The sequence below is a fragment of the Homo sapiens genome, chromosome 6, assembly GCF_000001405.40.
Source record: "Homo sapiens chromosome 6, GRCh38.p14 Primary Assembly".
Classification (NCBI taxonomy): Eukaryota; Metazoa; Chordata; class Mammalia; order Primates; family Hominidae; genus Homo; species Homo sapiens.
The window spans coordinates 25,721,221-25,738,145 of record NC_000006.12 but is presented as its reverse complement, the minus strand read 5'-3'; the positions used below and the strand labels follow the sequence as shown (position 1 = coordinate 25,738,145).

The window sequence follows — 16,925 nt, the reverse complement described above, 5'->3', positions numbered from 1 at the left end:
TATTCTTTTTCAAAATAGTTTTAGATGTTCTAGTTCCTTTTACTTGTACTTTTAAGATTTATTGTGATTTTTCACATAAACAATCATATCATCTGTGAATATAGGGAGTTTTATTTTCTCCCAAATCCATATGCCCTTAATTTCTTTTTCTTGCCTTGTTGTACTAGCAAGGACTTCCAGTATACAGTTGAATTTAATTGTGAGTGAACATTTTGCCTTGCTCCTGATCTTAGATACCAATCTAGAATCCAGGTAGAATCTGAATGTCTAGGATTAAGGGGAATCAGAAGAAACATGTTAAGAATAAAACAATTTATATAATGTAGGACTTATATTTCTCTGTCGTAACAATCGTAGAGAAGACTCTTTTGAAGGAATTCCTAATTTTTGTTATTATATTTTGAAAGGGGGAAACTGTCAGTGATCTAGTAACATTGTTATTTCATTGGAAGGCAGTAACTTTTATTTCCAAAATCATGTTATTTGGGTGCCATATGATGGTCATATATTACTGGTTGTAATAGCAGTTGTAACCACCCAATGGGTTTCTTTTGCCTGCTGCCCAGATAAAGCCAATTTATCAATATAAGGAAATTGCAATAGAGAAACAGTTTAATACATGTAAAACAGGCTAGAAGGGAGACTAGAGTTTTATTACTACTCAAACTAACCTCCCCGAAAATTTGGAGGCTAGGGTTTTTCAAAGATAGTTTGGCAAGCAGGGGGCTAGGGAATGGGTGCTGCTGATTGGTTGAGAAAGCAATCATAGGGATAGGGAAAATGGCCTTCCTGAAGCTGAGTCCACTTCTGAGTAGTGGCCATAGGACCAGTTGAGTCAAGAGTCATGGATCCAGTGGGGCCATCCAGTCATCAGAAATGCAAAAGCCTGAAAAGACATCCAAAAATCCAATCTTAGATTCTACACTAATGACATTATTTACAAGAGTAATTGGAGAAGTTGCAAATCTTGTCACCTATAGAATAATGGCTGGTAATGGAATAATGTTTCAACTACAAATTAAGACCCTCTCATCCTCCTAACCTGGTAGGCTTTCATTAGTTTTACAAAGGTGGTTTAATTTATTGAGAAGGGCTATTATAACTTAAACTAGAAACTAAATTTCTCCCAAAGTTAGCTTGGCCCGTGCCCAGAAATAACCAAGGGCGGTTTGGAGGTTGGTTAGGTAAGATCTAACAAGATCTAGCAAGATGAAGTTGGTTAGGTCAGATCTCTTTCACTGTCATAATTTTCTCACTGTTACAATTTTTGCAAATGTGATTTCATAATGAGTTCAGTTGGACCATGTAATTTTGTACAATTTAATGGAAAAGATAATAGGGTGTTAATTTTATTTTTACTGTGTAGAAAGACCTTGAGAACAATTTAGTTAAATATGGTCCAGTTCTGATAAATTTCAGGATTTTAAAAGAATCTTGGTGTAACAGAAGACACTGAGAGTCAGACCTGCCCATCCCACTGGTCTGATATGGGTTCTTAACAGTAGAAGGAAGGAATGGGTTAATGACCCCATGGAAGGGAGTCAAAATGTTCTGAGGATCCAAAAATCTTCTCAAAGCACCAGCCATACCCCTTGTTTGGCTCTAAATTTGTCTTCTAATTGCTTTACAGTATTAAAGGAAAGAGAAAAATTCCATCTTTTAGCTTAATTTCATGCTTCTTCCTTATTCTTATCCCTTCTGGCACACCCTGATTAAGAACAAAGCCATTTAATCTCACCGAAATGAGTACTGAGATACGGGGCCATGGTTAAAGACCAAACACATTTAATTGACTATGATTTGGGGGAGAGGTTTTTATTGTGTCAAGCCGAAAATTTTGCTTAAATTTGTCAGACAGATGTTCTTACAAAAGAAACTCATTATTGAGATAAATTAAGGAGGAAAGGGTGGGGCCCACTAACAGTTCTCTTCTAGGGTAACCGTAGACTAGAAAGAAAAGCTGCTGGGACTGAAGTCCTCAGAGAGTGGAATCTGAGATACACAGACATTCCCCCTACCACCCCACCCCCACCACCTTCTCTTTCAACAGCCACAGAAGTTTTTATTTCTGATGTCACCTTTATTTTTTAAAGTGCTCCAAGAGCAAGAGATTCAGCCACTGGCAGCTCTGGATTAATTTTCTAAAATTTTTTATTTGTCCTGCAACCCTATAAATATGTCTCTTCAATCTCCATGTCTGAAAATATCAGAAAAGATTCTTACTGGCTCAGCTTGGGTGGCATGCCCAACCTTTGAACCAATCATGGTACCCCAGTGAGTGCAGTTCCTTTATTGATTAAACCTGAGTGCAGAGTGGACTGCCCTGATTGACCATTTTCATCATCCCAATCTTGTTCTGAAGAGCAAGTCATGAACCACTTGTGAAATAGAACATACAATAAAACAATAGAACACAACACAATAATTTAGAAAGTAATGTCAGAATGCTTCCACCATAGCATATTGTTTTTGAAAACTTTTGTTTTAGCTCTTGGTATGTACATGTTTCCCTAACTGTGACTTTGGTCATGGAATAAAAGGTATTTCTTAAATGTTTGTTGTAGTTAAAAAAAAAAAAAGTGAAAAAACTTTTAGCTCTACTGTATGGTTTGGGTACTTGAATTCAGTCAATGTTGATGTTTCCAGATTAGGAGTTTGTGATGTGTTACAGCAGTAAGACAGTTCCCTTGTTTGGTCTTTTGCAGAACAGACTGCATTAGAGCATGATTGCTCACTTAATCTCTCTGCTCCTCATTCACCCACTTTAGAGGGTAATCAGATGTACTTATGTCCCTTCTGGGCTTTAACACCAAGTATTATGTGTCCTTGCTCATTCTCCATTTCATTTGTCTTTAATCCCCCTACATTCCCTATTTTCCACAGTATAATTACAGTAGAATATTGTCATTTCCTTTAGCAAATGTTTACTATGGCTTTCTGAATTTATAAATGAAAAATAGCCAACACTCACCAAAAATGTTCTGTTTTACTTATTAAAATCCCTTGTCATATAATACAATCTGCATGAACTAAGGATGATAGATTAATGCCATCATTTTGAAGCAGCTGCAATTACTACATTGAACATAAGCGAGTTACTGAAATGATATTTTTTGAAACTTGATCACAGCTCCTTTTCTGAAAGGGTGTGTGGCTCTGAGAACTGTTGATTTCCAATAATTATTTCCCAGTTAATTGTGGGGCATTGCCCTGCAGTTGTTACTTAAATCTGATTTTATTTTCCTTCTACTAGTATAGGAGAATCTTTTTAATACCCTTTTTAAAGATTTGTCTAATCATCAAGAACATTATTAAATAACAGTGATTTTAAAAGTCCTCTAACAACAACTACTAGTATTCCACTAAGAAACAAAGATTATCCATCTAAACATATTAACAAATGCTTTTTAAGCATCTACTGAGTTTAAGATTTATTTTTCCTTTAGCAAACAGGTTTGCATTTTACTCAGCATTCAAACATCCTTACACTCGTAGATGGATCCTGGTTTATCACTGTTAACTTTTTAATTGGCTACCAGAGTTGATTGCTCATATTTAATGGAAGATTTGTGTATATTTACTTATAACTGAGAATGTGCTGCACTTAGTAGCATGCCTTCTTCATTCACTTTTGGGATTTTTTTAATAATTTGAAACCATTTCGTTAGCTGTAGATTTATCCTTTTCTTAAATGTCTAAGAAGAAGCCTGATATTTGAGGATGTTAGCTCATTGGTAACCTCATTTTTTTCCCCATTCATCTTAATCCTCACTGCTTTCTAGGTTTAATTTAAGCAATTTCTATTTTTTCAGAAATTCTTACATTTCTTCAATATTTTCAAATATGTTAACATAGGTTGTTTTAAACTATGTCCTTGTAACCTTAAAACAATTCCTAAATATCGCTATCTAAATTAAGTTCCCAGGAGGTTTAATAATTGTTTTCAACAAATAGCTCTTATATTTATTTAATTCTATAGGTTTAGGGTAATAATTTTATGGACACAAGGATTGTGAAGAAAATAACTTTTGGCCGTGTGCAGTGGCTCACCCTTGTAATCCCAGCACTTTGGGAGGCTCAGGTGGGCGGATCAACTGAGGTCAGGAGTTTGAGATCAACCTAACCATCGTGGTGAAACCCCGTCTCTACTAAAAATACAAAAAACTAGCCAGGTATAGTGGCACGTGCATGTAATCCCAGCTACTCGGGAGGCTGAGGCAGGAGAATCACTGGAACCCAGGAGGTGGAGGTTGCAATGAGATTGTACCACTGCACTCCAGCCTGGGCGACAGAGCAATACTCTGTCATACACACACACACACACACACACACACACACATACACACACACACACACACACACAGTATTAGGCTTTGGTTTGAGATATAACCCACATACTAAAATATTAGTATCTTTATACTTATAAATACGAGTATTTATAAGTATGAACATATTTATATCTCAGTGTGTCCATTATATCTCAAACCAAAGGCTAATTATAGGTTTGTATCTTAGTGTGTATGTTATAAACCTTATAAACATTATAAACTTTATTATAGTGTATTAAGCACTTCACATAAGTAAGGTATCACATACCTGTATGTACCTTTTATCTTTTGGTTTATTAACATAGCATGGCTACGGTCTTCTAGACATATAACCATCCTAGAATTCTCGGAAGGTAATTCTTTGGCAGAAGAAAACATGCGCCCTAGGAGTATGTTTAGATATGCCCATTCCTTGACTGATGTCCATACAGTCATGCTCTCCCAACAAGAGTTGTGCTGAAAGCTGCAAGTTTACAAATCTTCCTTTCCTTCTAATCATTTAGTCTAATTCGACACTCTAACTAAAATTCAACCCCCAAAATATGATTCCCCATCTTCACATTATTTTTCTCAGGAATTACATAGGTTGTCACAATAACATCCTAATTTGTTTGTTCATTTTCCCAAGAAGAATGGCATTTTCCCTTCCAGGAGCCTGCTATAATCACTGCTCTGCCTACCTGAAGTAGGTGCTGAAACAGTTCCACCCAGAAACATCAAGTTCTGCTGTCAATACTACCGAGTATTAAAGGAAACTGCTTCGGATACCCCAATAACCAGAACTGTTCTGAGTCCTGTTTACGAAAGCTGTAGTCTTATTGACGAAACAGCATTTTGTAATCCTTTTGTAAACTAGCTCTTTCTCAGAAATTGAGTGGCTCTGAAAAGGGCCTTTGATTTCAGCTTTGGGGTTTTTGTTTTTGTTTTTGTTTTTGTTTCTTCTAGACATTAGACATTCAAGTCACTTCGCTGGCTTTTACAACTTGGGTGGTTATTCATACTGGACTTTGTGGTAGTGGCTCCCAATCCTTTGGGACAGCAGCACAGCTTGGATGTTGGGCAAAACGTCACCCTAAGCCATTGTCACTCGGGCCAGCAGCTTGTCGAGCTCCTTGTCGTTGCGGATGGCCAGCTGCAGGTGGCGCGGGATGATGCGGGTCTTCTTCTTGTTCCGACGGCGTTGCCCGCCAACTCCAGGGTGTCGGAGGCCAGGTACTCCAGAACCGCCGGCAGGTACGCTAGCGTGCAGCCCCCGACCCTCTCGGCATCGTTGCCCTTGCTGAGCAGCCCGTTGACACCGCCCACGGGGAACTGCAGAACCTCTCTGAATGAATAGCGCGTACCCTTCCCCCGAGTTTCCCTAGTCTAAGACATAGCCCAAAACTAAAAGTTATAACGGAAAAAGACACCCGTTAAAACGGGTACTCAGCGTATTTCTAGTCTGACAGCAGATTGTGGATTATCTGATTGATTGGCTGATAGCCATCTATCCAATCAGAGAACCTTACTGCTATTGCCTTATTTACATACTCTACCTATTATCCAATCAGATGTTGGATGCAAATGACGTAGGTTGAGGGCCATGCCTATAAATATCACGCTTCACTCCAGTCAAACATCAGTTAGTGATCTCCCTGTGAACTTGGAAGATAAACATGCTGGAGCTTGCTTCAAAGGGCACTACCATTTCCGAAAAGGGCTTTAAGAAGGCAGTTGCTAAAACTCGAAGGAGGACAAAAAGCGCAAGAGATGCCGCAAAGAGAGCTATTCTATTTACATCTACAAGCTGCTGAAGCAGGTCCACGCGGACACTGGAATCTCTTCCAAGGCCATGAGTATCATGAATTCTTTTGTTAGTGACATTTTTGAGCGCATTGCCTGTGAGGCTTCCCGCCTGGCGCATTATGACAAGCGCTCGACCATCACCTCCAGGGAGATCCAGACGGCCGTGCGCCTGCTGCTGCCTGGGGAACTAGCCAAGCACGTTGTGTCGGAGGGCACCAAGGCTGTCACCAAGTACACTAGCTCCAAGTAAAACATGATAGGGCCAGCAGATGAGCTCCACAAACCAAAGGCTCTTTTAAGAGCCAATGAAAGTTTCTAATAGGGCTGTAGAATGTTTATTTTATTATAGAGTATGCCTCGTTGCCAGACTGATAATTTTTTCCTAGACTAGGCATAACATGGTTATCTTTAAGTCTAAACTTTGCATTAATCAACTGTATCTGCCCCAGTATTGGTGAAAGCTAAAATCTCACAGCCGAGGCAATTAAATGGGAGCTCCCGTAATCCTGGGTTCATGGGGATATTCTTTCTGTGGACAGTGCCATGGGGAAATACGGCTTTTTTGTCTATGACGTTTTCTACTACAAACACTCTACGATGACAGCAAAAAAGGCCTGGAGCTCCCCACTTAGGGAAGTCTGGCACTGAGCATTAGGCTGTTTGCTTTTTCTTGACTTTGGCCATAATGTGTGCAAAACATTCTCCAAGTCCGGGTGGACCAGCTCCAGCACCTTGTAGATGTAAATAGAATAGCTCTCTTTGCAGCATCTCTTGTGCTTTTTACGCTCCTTTTCTTGCACATTATGAAAAGTGATCAGGCTAACTCCCCTTGAACTGCTGGAATTTGAGGTCCAAAGCCTAAGGTTTCTGCGTCTCTGTGAACTCCAGTAAACTGCTTACTCAATATCACAGTTCTTATGTTGCTTAGCCGCTTAAGAATTATCTCCACAGGGATTTCCAGTTGATCCCAACAGAACTGTTCCTGAACTTCTGCATTCTCTATATCCATGAGTACCACCCTATTCACATGGTTGTCCAAGCCAGAAATGTATTTTTTCCCTAATAGTCTCTGTTCAACCTCCATCCACTTCAGTCTCTCAAGATATGGTAATTTTACTTCCTACATATTTCTGTTGTCTGATTATACACCATCTCCACCGCTAACATTTTTGTCTGCATACTCATGATCTCACACCTGAATTAGTTTCCAATTAATCTCACTGCTCTTAATCTTGCCTCCCTAAAAACCACTCTCCACCCAACTATTTTCATTTTTTAAATTGACAAAAATTGTGTATTTACTGTGTACAACATGATGTTTTGAAATATGTATACATCGCGGAATGGCAATCTAATTAACATATGCATTACCCCACATATTTTTTATGAAAACACTTAAACTCTACTCTTTGCAATTTTCAATACAACATATTGTTACCAACTATAATCAGCATATTGTACAATAGAGCTCTTCAGCTTATTCCTCCTAAGTGAAATTTCATATCCTTTAACCAATATCTTCCCACCACTCCCCAACTCTAGCCACTGGTAACCACCACTCTGCTACTTATATGAGTTCAACTTTTTTTTAATTCCACTTATGAGATCATACAGCATTTGTCTTTCTGTGCCTCGCTCATTTCACTTAACATCCTCCAGGTTCATCCATGTTGCTGCCAATGACAGAATTCTTTTTCTTTTTTGAGGCCAAATAGTATTCTATTATGTATGTATGCCACATTTTCTTTAGCCATTCATCTCCTGAAGGACCTTTATGTTCTTTCTATATCTTGTCTATTGAGAATAATTCTGCAATGAACATGGGAGTACAGATATCTCTTTGAGAAACTGATTTTATTTCCTTTCAATATATACCCAGTAGTAGGATTGTTGGATTATATGGTAGTTCTATTTTTAATTTTTTGAGGAAATTCTATACTGTTTTCCACAATGTATGCACTAAAATATTACCATTTTCAATCTTATTTGAAGCACAAATATTACTATATCACACATTTTAAAAAATATTTTGAAAACTCAATTTGGTATTGTTTTATTAATAGTATTAAGTATTTTATTGCATGCACTTAGAAATTTATATTAAGCTGTGTATAGGATCAGCTAGACTTGCAAAGAAATCAATAGTACAATAAAAGTTTTGAATGTTGGAGCTTTTTGGATTACGGATGCTCAACCTATATTGCAAACATGTAAAACTCAAGAAAATCTATCAAGAAACCAATAGGAAAATAAGTCAATTCAGTGAGGTACTAGAAGGATATTAAAAAAAAATGCACGGAAAGCAGTCTTACATATATAACAAAAAAAGTTAAAAAATAATGAATAGGAAATACCTCATTTACAGTAACAACAAAAACAAAATACCCAGAACTATATTTAACTTTTTAAAATGCCAAATATATATGAAGGTAGATGATCAGTTCACACCCATCCCGTGGTTTTCTGTAGGTGAATGACTCAGGCAGCACCTGAACTAGCTCAGTTCTAGAAAATGGACCTGAGAGGAACGGGTCCTCTGGGAAGACTCCTCTTGCTTTCAATCCAAGACCCAGTGGAATAGACTGACTCTTCCTGCCTTTACTTTATCCTATCCTCTCTGCATGAACACTTGCAACTGTAACTAGTATGATGGCAAAGTCACAGTGTGGAGAAGGGCAGAGGCAAGACTGCAGGGTAGTGGAGCCAGGGCTGTGATTATCCTATTGGTGGAACTTCTCTGCCTTTATGTTGTCCTGTTTGGTTGCATTACTTATCTCAACCAGTTCAGCTAGCATTTCCTATTATTTGCAGCCAAAATACATCTGATATAAAAGCTACATGAAGTTTGGTCTGAAAACAGTTTTTATTTGCTGGTATTCCTACTTATCTATTGCCCAAATAAGCCTAAAAGTCCTTGGGTAATCAGGGTAGTCTGACAGTGGTCACAAAGTCGACAGGTTATTTGGCAGCTATGTGATACCTGCTGTTTTCCAAGGTGTTAGAGAAGCATGAATCCCTGATTAGAGATGATCCCATCCCCAATACAAGGTGAGCATAGATGCTAGATGCCCCTTCCCCCCAATTTGTCACCTCCCTGGAAGATTTCCCAGCTAAAGCATGCAGGGGCTTTGCAGGGACTGTCTTACTGTTCACAAAAGTGTGGGGGCACTTATTTTAACGGGTCTTGTTATACATTGATATATTTTTTTGTTTGTGTTTGAGACGGAGTCTCGCTCTGTCACCCAGGCTGGAGTGCAGTGGGGCGATCTCGGCTCACTGCAACCTCCGCCTCCCGGGTTCAAGGGATTCTCCTGCCTCAGCCTCCCAAGTAGCTGCAATTACAGGAACGTGCCACCACGCCCAGCTAATTTTTTGTATTTTGAGTAGAGACAGGGTTTCACCATGTTAGCCAGGATGGTCTCGATCTCCTGACCTCGTGATCTGCCCTCCTCTGCCTCCCAAAGTGCAGGATTACATGCGTGAGCCACCGCGCCGGCCGGTACTAACTTTTTAATGTAGAGAAAGCACATATACATATCCAAAATTTTGTTAAAAGATAAAGGTTAAATGAAGATGCGTTAAACAAATTGAGAATTCCAGCTAACCACAGGTTTCCAGGAAGTAATATTTGATCCATTTTTAAGGTGGCTGAAATCAGTTTAATGCTTGGGAGCTCTTACAGATGGAGTCCAACAACCAGTAACATGACAATGAAGGAAACTATTATAAATTTAAGAAAATTAAGGGACATTTTAAATCCGTTTAATTCCTGCTAACCAGATTTGTGAGTTCTCCAGAGTTCGCACAATCATTTCCACACCTTGACTTACCTGTGGCACAAAACGTAACTTCCTCTAAACTATTCCCTTTTTGTGAGGTCTTAAAATTTGGGATCATAATGCAAGTTATACTGTCTATGTCGCTGCGCTTTTTAGTTTTATTATGTGTAATGCTAACCTTAAATATACCAGTATCAGCATGTAGCTTTTATACAAACTAGGGGGTTTTTTTGTTTTGTTTTTTGAGACAGTCTCGCTGTCACCAGGCTGTAGTGCAGTGACGATCTCGGCTCACTGCAATCTCCGGCTCCTGGGTTCAAGCGATTCTCTTGCCTCAGCCTCCCAATTAGCTGGGACTACAGTGCACGCCACCACGCCCACCTGATTTTTGTATTTTTAGTAGAGACGGAGTTTCACCTTGTTGGCCAAGATGGTCTCCGTCTCTTAACCTCATGAACCGCCAGCCTCGACCTCTGCAAGTGCTGGGATTACAGGCGAGTCACGGTGCCTAGCAAGGATTGTCTTGCTGCAACTAGTTCGTCTACCCTCGGCCCACAGCTGATTTGGATATATTCGCAGTGGCTCACGCCTGTAGTCCCAGCACTTTGGGAGACCGAGGTGGGTGATCACCAGATCGAGTTTGAGACCATCCTGGCCAACATGGTGAAACCCCGTCTCTACTAAAAATACAAAAATTAGCCGGGTGTAGTGGTGGGAGCCTGTAGTCCCAGCTGCTCAGGAGGCTGAGGCAGGAGAATGGCGTGAACTCAGGAGGCAGAGCTTGCAGTGAGCCGAGATTCCGCCACTGCACTCCAGCCTGGGAGAGTGAGACTCCGCCTCAAAAAAAAAAAAAACCCTTACGGTTAGAAACTACACAAAAACGAAGCCCACAGCTGTTTCAGTATGTTTAAGTGGCTCTGAAAAGAGCCTTTGGGTTAGAAATGACGTTTACTTAGCAGGCTTACTTGGAGCTGGTGTACTTAGTGACAGCCTTGGTGCCCTCAGACACAGCATGTTTAGCCAGCTCTCCCGGCAGTAGCAAGCGCACTGCTGTCTGAATCTCTCTGGAAGAAATGGTGGAGCGCTTGCTGTAGTGAGCCAAACGTGATGCCTCGCTCGCTATACGCTCAAAGATATCAGTGACGAAGGAATTCATAATGCTCATAGCTTTCGAAGAGATGCCAGTGTCCGGATGGACCTGCTTTAGCACTTTGTAGATGTAAATAGAATAACTCTCCTTACGGGTCCTCTTGCGCTTTTTGCCTTCCTTTTTCTGGGTCTTAACGACAGCTTTCTTAAAGCCCTTCTTGGAAATGGTAGCACCTTTAGATGACACCTCCGGCATAGCTACCACACACTTCTGCAGCGTTACACGGTTCTTTTCCAGGGTTACACAGCACTTTCCAGTGCTCAACAGCTCTTCAGTATTAAACAGCTCCAAATGACCTCAGCTCCAAGTCTCGCCAAGTAAACAAACAGAACTGGAGGATGAAAGATGCGGTATTTATAGGCACGGCCCTCAAACGCCGCGTTCGGTATCCAAAATCTGATTGGACAATGGGAAGTGGCGTGAATGCAAATGAGGCGATTCTAGTACGACTTTCTGATTGGGTAGACGGCCATCAGCCAATCAGATAGCAAATGCCAACCTCAGTCAGACTATAAATAGGCCCAGTAGCAGCCCTAGAAATGTGGTTCTCGTGTTGCTGCAATTTGATGCGAGGAGATGTCTGGACGAGGGAAGCAGGGAGGAAAAGCACGCGCCAAGTCTAAGTCTCGCTCTTCTAGAGCGGGTTTGCAGTTTCCCGTAGGCCGGATCCATCGTCTGCTTCGTAAGGGAAACTATGCAGAGCGGATAGGGGCAGGCGCACCAGTGTATTTGGCGGCAGTGTTAGAGTATCTCACAGCAGAAATCCTTGAGCTGGCAGGCAATGCGTCTCGCGATAACAAAAAAACTCGCATTATTCCCCGCCACCTGCAGCTAGCGATCCGCAATGATGAGGAACTCAATAAGCTTTTGGGCGGCGTGACCATTGCCCAGGGCGGAGTCCTGCCTAACATTCAGGCAGTGCTGCTGCCCAAGAAGACTGAGAGTCACCACCATAAAGCCCAAAGCAAGTAACTTAAGGTTGTCATTGGTAAAAAGACTTCTGTGTCAGAAAAAACAAAAGGCTCTTTTCAGAGCCACCTACCGTCTCAGAAAAAGGCTGTACGTTACAAAACGTTACTGCTGTTAACCAGCCATCTTACTTGCCTGTCACAAATGCCCGTTTAAGCGCATTTCGGGAATGTACGGGGACTGAATTTTCAAGGAGCGTTCCATCGGCCATTAGTTTGAGGTAATTTTGGTTATATATGTCACTGGGCGAGGTGGCTTAACGCTTGTGAGCAGTCAGTACTTGCACTTCAGTGGAGGTTGGAGCGGGAGGGTCGTTCAAGCCTGGGGCTTGACCGTTAACATAATTGAGACCCTGTCCCCACAGAAACTAGCTGGGTCTGGTGATGCAGGCCTGTAGTCCCAGCTGTTCGGGAGGCTGCGGTGGGAGGGTTGTTCATGAGTCCGGGAGGCGAAAGTTACAGTGAACGAAGATTGATTGCTCCACTGCACTCCAGTCTGGGTGACATGAGCGAGACTATCTCAAACTAGATTTATGTATGTTAGTTATGTTAAGGGTTACACATGGAAGTGAAAATTGCATTACAAGCAGGAGAGGTGTAATCTTCCTGTTTAAATCCAGGTAACATCAGTCTGGCTGGTTAAAGTACATTTTAGAGAATTTCCTTTCAAATATGGTAGTTTCACGAAATACTCATAATTAAATGTGGCATGTAAGTAAGTTAATCTTAAAATTTGGGTAAGCATATATATTTGATACCTGTGGTTTCACGTACTTTGTAAAGAATAATAGAATTATTTCTTAAAATGTAAGTAAAATATGTCAAAAAGAAGCCTTACGCCATATGTGATGGTGAGATACTAGTGTTAGACTCAGGCAGGAATGGGACTAGAAGGCCGAACATAATTTGAAGTTTAGAAATTTGGAAGAGTATATGCTTCAAAAGTTTTGACTGTTGAAAAGAGGCAAAATAGTTTGTTGATCTGTGTTTGCAGTTTGTGCTGTAAACACCAAGAGAAAGTGAAAAGCAAAACCCATTCAGTAACGCTGCCAAATAACTAAATTAAAAATTATTGTACGATATTCAACAGTTGACCTTACCTCAAAAAAAAAAAAAATCATTTGGTTACCAAAAAAAAAACTGCTAAACACTTGATGTCTACACATAATAAGGCATGTATAGAAGCAGGTAAAGTTCTATAAAATAAAACATGCCGAGTAAGGACAATCAAGTTACAAAAGTATGAATTAACCTGCATACATAATAAATAAGGGATGCAGTTAGGGACGGCAAAAATTGAAGATATTTGAAAACAGAAATGGCAACTATATGTTGAATAAAACTGGGTAATATTTAGAACATGGCAAATGTAAAACTTAAAATCAGGATATAAGACAAACCTAAACAGATGAATTCCAAGTAATTAATGTAGATACTTTGTCAAGAAAGTGGCACTTAACTTCTCAGACTTGCCAAGGCAGAGGAGGAGGGACTTGACTTTATAGAAGAGAACCTGTGTATTCTTTTATTCCAAATGCACTACATAATACTTTTATTTCTATCTCTAATGCAATCCTATTAAAATTGCATTAAACTAAATGTTTAGATAGAATAAAATATATTAAAAAATTGTGAATACATGTTACAGGAGACATGCCCCCTTGATTTTTCAAAACAATTTACCTACAGAAGTTTCTGATTCTTCTTTTTTTGGAGCCAGAGTCTCGCTCTGTCACCCAGGCTGGAGTGCAGTGGCGTGATCTCGGCTCATTACAACCTCCAGCTCCCAGGTTCAAGTGATTCTCCTACCTCAGCCTCCTGAGTAGCTGGGATTACGGGCGCCTGCCCCACGCCCAGCTAACTTTTGTATTGTTAGTAGAGACAGGGTTTCGCCATGTTGGCCAGGCTGGTCTCCAACTCCTGACCTCAGGTGATCCGCCAGCCTCAGCCTCCCAAAGTGCTGGGATTACAAGTGTTAGCCACCGCACCCAGCCTTGATTTCTTCTTATAGAACTTTCACACGTTTCATAGAGTTTATCTCCAGGTATTCTTTTTTATTACTGTATTTTGGGGAAATATTAGAAGGGTTTCTTTTATTATGTTTTCTGATTGACGATGTTTTACAGATAGAACATTCTTGATATTCGTACTGGTTTGTATTTCCTTCCTTATTCTGTCATTTCTGTTGTCCAGCTTTTTTCCTCTGTGGTTTTCCAGGTAGGCAGAAAAATCATATAATTTTGTCCTGTTGTTTTAAATAGTTGACTTTGTCTAAATGCATTGTCTAATAGTTACACGTGATAATAAAAATGGTGATATTGACTTATTTTCCCCCCCAACAGCCTTCCTCTGTCGCACAGACGAGTGCAGTGGCCTGATCTCAGCTCACTGCAGCCTCTGCCTCCTGGATTCAAGCGATTCTCCTCCCTCATTCTCCCAAGTAGCTGGGATTACAGGCATGTACCATCATGTCTGGCTAATGTTTATATCTTTAGCACAGACGGGGTTTCACCATGTTGGCCAGGCTGGTCTCGAACTCCTGACCACCCACCTTGGCCTTATCCTAAAGTGCTGGGATTACAGACGTGAGCAACCATGCCCGGCTGACTTATTTTTTATTATAATCAGACTAATATGACACTGTCTTATGCCTAATGCTGGGTTTTTATGGGATTTGTGTAATTCCAAAATTGCTAAAAGTTGTTAATTAAAAATAAATATTGGCTATTAACAATAAAACTTCAGCAGCAACTGAGACAAATATATGCCACTTTTTTCCCTTTACTTTTTTTTTTTTTTGGGTGGGGAGGGCAGGGACGGAGTTTTGTTCTTATCACCCAGGCTGGAGTGCAATGGCACCATCTCAGCTCACTGCAACCTCCGCCTCCCGGCTTCAAGCGATTCTCCTGCCTCAGCCTCCTGAGTAGCTGGGATTACAGGCGCCTGCCACCACACCCAGCGAATTTTTTTTTTTTTTTTGTATTGTTAGTAGAGTCAGCGTTTTGCCATGTTCAGCAGGCTGGTCTCGAACTCCTGACCTCAGGTGATCCGCCCGACTCGGCCTTCCAAAGTGCTGGGATTACAGGCATGAGCCACCATGCTCAGCCTCCTTTTACTTTTTATGATAAATCACGTTGAAGGAATTCAGAACACACCATTTCAAAATATGTCACTCTGACATATTGACTATTTGGAGATAGACACTTGAAAAACAGCAGATGCACATACACTCTGACCTTCCTTTTGTTTCTTAAAAGCAGGAGATGAAAGATGCCCTCCCTATACCAGAAGGAAAGTATCATTCTCATCAAGGACAGAAAATTAAGGCCAAGGAAAATCTGTACAAATAAACCTTGTTACACCAACCCTTACCTCTCTAGTCACTTCTCCACCTAATTAATTACTCTAACCCAAGCCCCTTTGCTGTCACATTTTCACAACTTACTTCACTTTGTCAGATTCTTCACATAAGCATTCCATTCTTTGTCTTCGGGTCTTCATTTCCTACTCCTGTGCCACGTAAAACTTCCATTCAATAAATTTATATGCTTTTCTCCTGTTGACCTCTCATGTCAATTTAATTCTCAAACCCAACCAAAATATCCTGAGGGTAGAAGTAAAGTTTTGCTTCCTCCACTACAATGTTATGGATTTCTCATCAGAAATCACAGAAGTCATGGAACGATAGAATAACACCTTCTAAGTTCTAAAGCAAAATACCTTTCAATTTAAAATTCTGTGCTCAGATGAACTCTTTTTTGTGTAAGGGTGAAATAATTTTTGGACAAAGATTGGAAAGTTTTGCCACTCAGATTCATACTAGAAGAATTAATGCTAAAGAATGTACTGAAATAAAAAGACTGAACTCAGAAGAAAGACTGAGATGCAATAAGCAATAATATTGCCAAAGGAAGAGGTAAAAGTATAAATCTATCTAAATAAATACACTAGTTGTAAAAAAAAAAAAACCTACAATAATACTAGAATATTAAAAAAAAAAACCAAAAACACTGGAGAGTAGTTACAGAAGATGAAAGGGGCTGAAACAAATTAAAGCATGTTGATGTCCTTGTACTGTTTATAAGGAGGACAGACATACTGATTGTTATATTTTCTTAAGTCAGGTTTATATTTTATGATATTAAATGTAACCACTAAAATAATAAAATTAATGTAGACTAGAAAGAAGGTAATAGCAAAAAAAAAAAATAGTCCAGTGGAAAGCAGGAAATCAGAAAGGACTGGCATGACAAATTAGAATGCAAAGTCAAACATTAGAAATGAGTCCAAATATCAAAATGAAGTTTAACCGATTAAATTTGCCATTTAAAAGACAGTATTTGACTAGGAGTAAAACACAGCTATACCTTGGTTATAAAATACCTAAAATTTATTGGCACAGAAGAACATTTAGAAGAAAAGGAGTGGAAAAATTACATTCCAGACAAAACTGTCCCCCAAAAAAATTATTTTGCAAAATTAATGGCAGAGATAATATTTAATGAAAAAGTAATTTGAAAATTAAAAGCGGAAAATATAGGTAGATACACTATTTCTCATTGTGTTAACACCCCAAAACACAGCTTTATAGAAAACAAACAGCAGAAATGTATGACAAAGAATACATTCACAATTATAGTGTATATTTTAATATGTCTGTCTTGGAAAAAGGTAATCACCCCTACCACATATTGGAATGTTAAAAACACACTAAAGCATAATTCATGAGTTTAATAGCAAAACCATAAACCTCTTACTGTGTCTCTGTCAGTCTACCAGTATGCCTCTGTTTCTATCTGTCTCTAAAATGTATGTTATTAATTGTCATCTATATGCTTAAGTGTCCCAAAGAAACCTGAGTCCTCTACCCTAAACTTTATTTTTTTAAAAAATATTATTATATTTTTTTTTGAGA

The 16,925-nt window shown here is 39.6% G+C and overlaps 3 protein-coding genes and 2 pseudogenes across 4 annotated transcripts in view; 3 read left to right on the top strand and 2 right to left on the bottom strand.

Annotated features, from left to right (window-relative positions):
• SLC17A1 (solute carrier family 17 member 1) overlaps positions 1-14,403 on the top strand; it is a 108,310-nt gene extending 93,907 nt beyond the window's left edge. The window contains exon 13 of the mRNA XM_017011201.3: positions 14,353-14,403. The gene's annotated coding sequence lies outside the window, so the exon portion shown is untranslated. The remainder of the gene's footprint in view (positions 1-14,352) is intronic.
• On the bottom strand, positions 441-5,765 carry H2AC2P (H2A clustered histone 2, pseudogene; annotated as a pseudogene). Its single transcript, NR_045125.2, has 2 exons — positions 4,597-5,765; positions 441-886 (listed from the first exon to the last, which is right to left on the bottom strand). The product of NR_045125.2 is annotated as a H2A clustered histone 2, pseudogene (transcript).
• H2BC2P (H2B clustered histone 2, pseudogene) lies at positions 5,980-6,418 on the top strand (annotated as a pseudogene).
• On the bottom strand, positions 10,801-11,369 carry H2BC1 (H2B clustered histone 1). The gene has a single exon (NM_170610.3). It carries the CDS (start codon positions 11,235-11,237, stop codon positions 10,854-10,856), a length of 384 nt encoding a protein of 127 aa, NP_733759.1. The 5' UTR covers positions 11,238-11,369; the 3' UTR covers positions 10,801-10,853.
• H2AC1 (H2A clustered histone 1) lies at positions 11,584-12,083 on the top strand. Its single transcript, NM_170745.3, has one exon. The coding sequence runs from the start codon at positions 11,619-11,621 to the stop codon at positions 12,012-12,014; it is 396 nt and encodes a 131-aa protein (NP_734466.1). The 5' UTR covers positions 11,584-11,618; the 3' UTR covers positions 12,015-12,083.
• Positions 14,404-16,925: the final 2,522 nt, after the last annotated feature.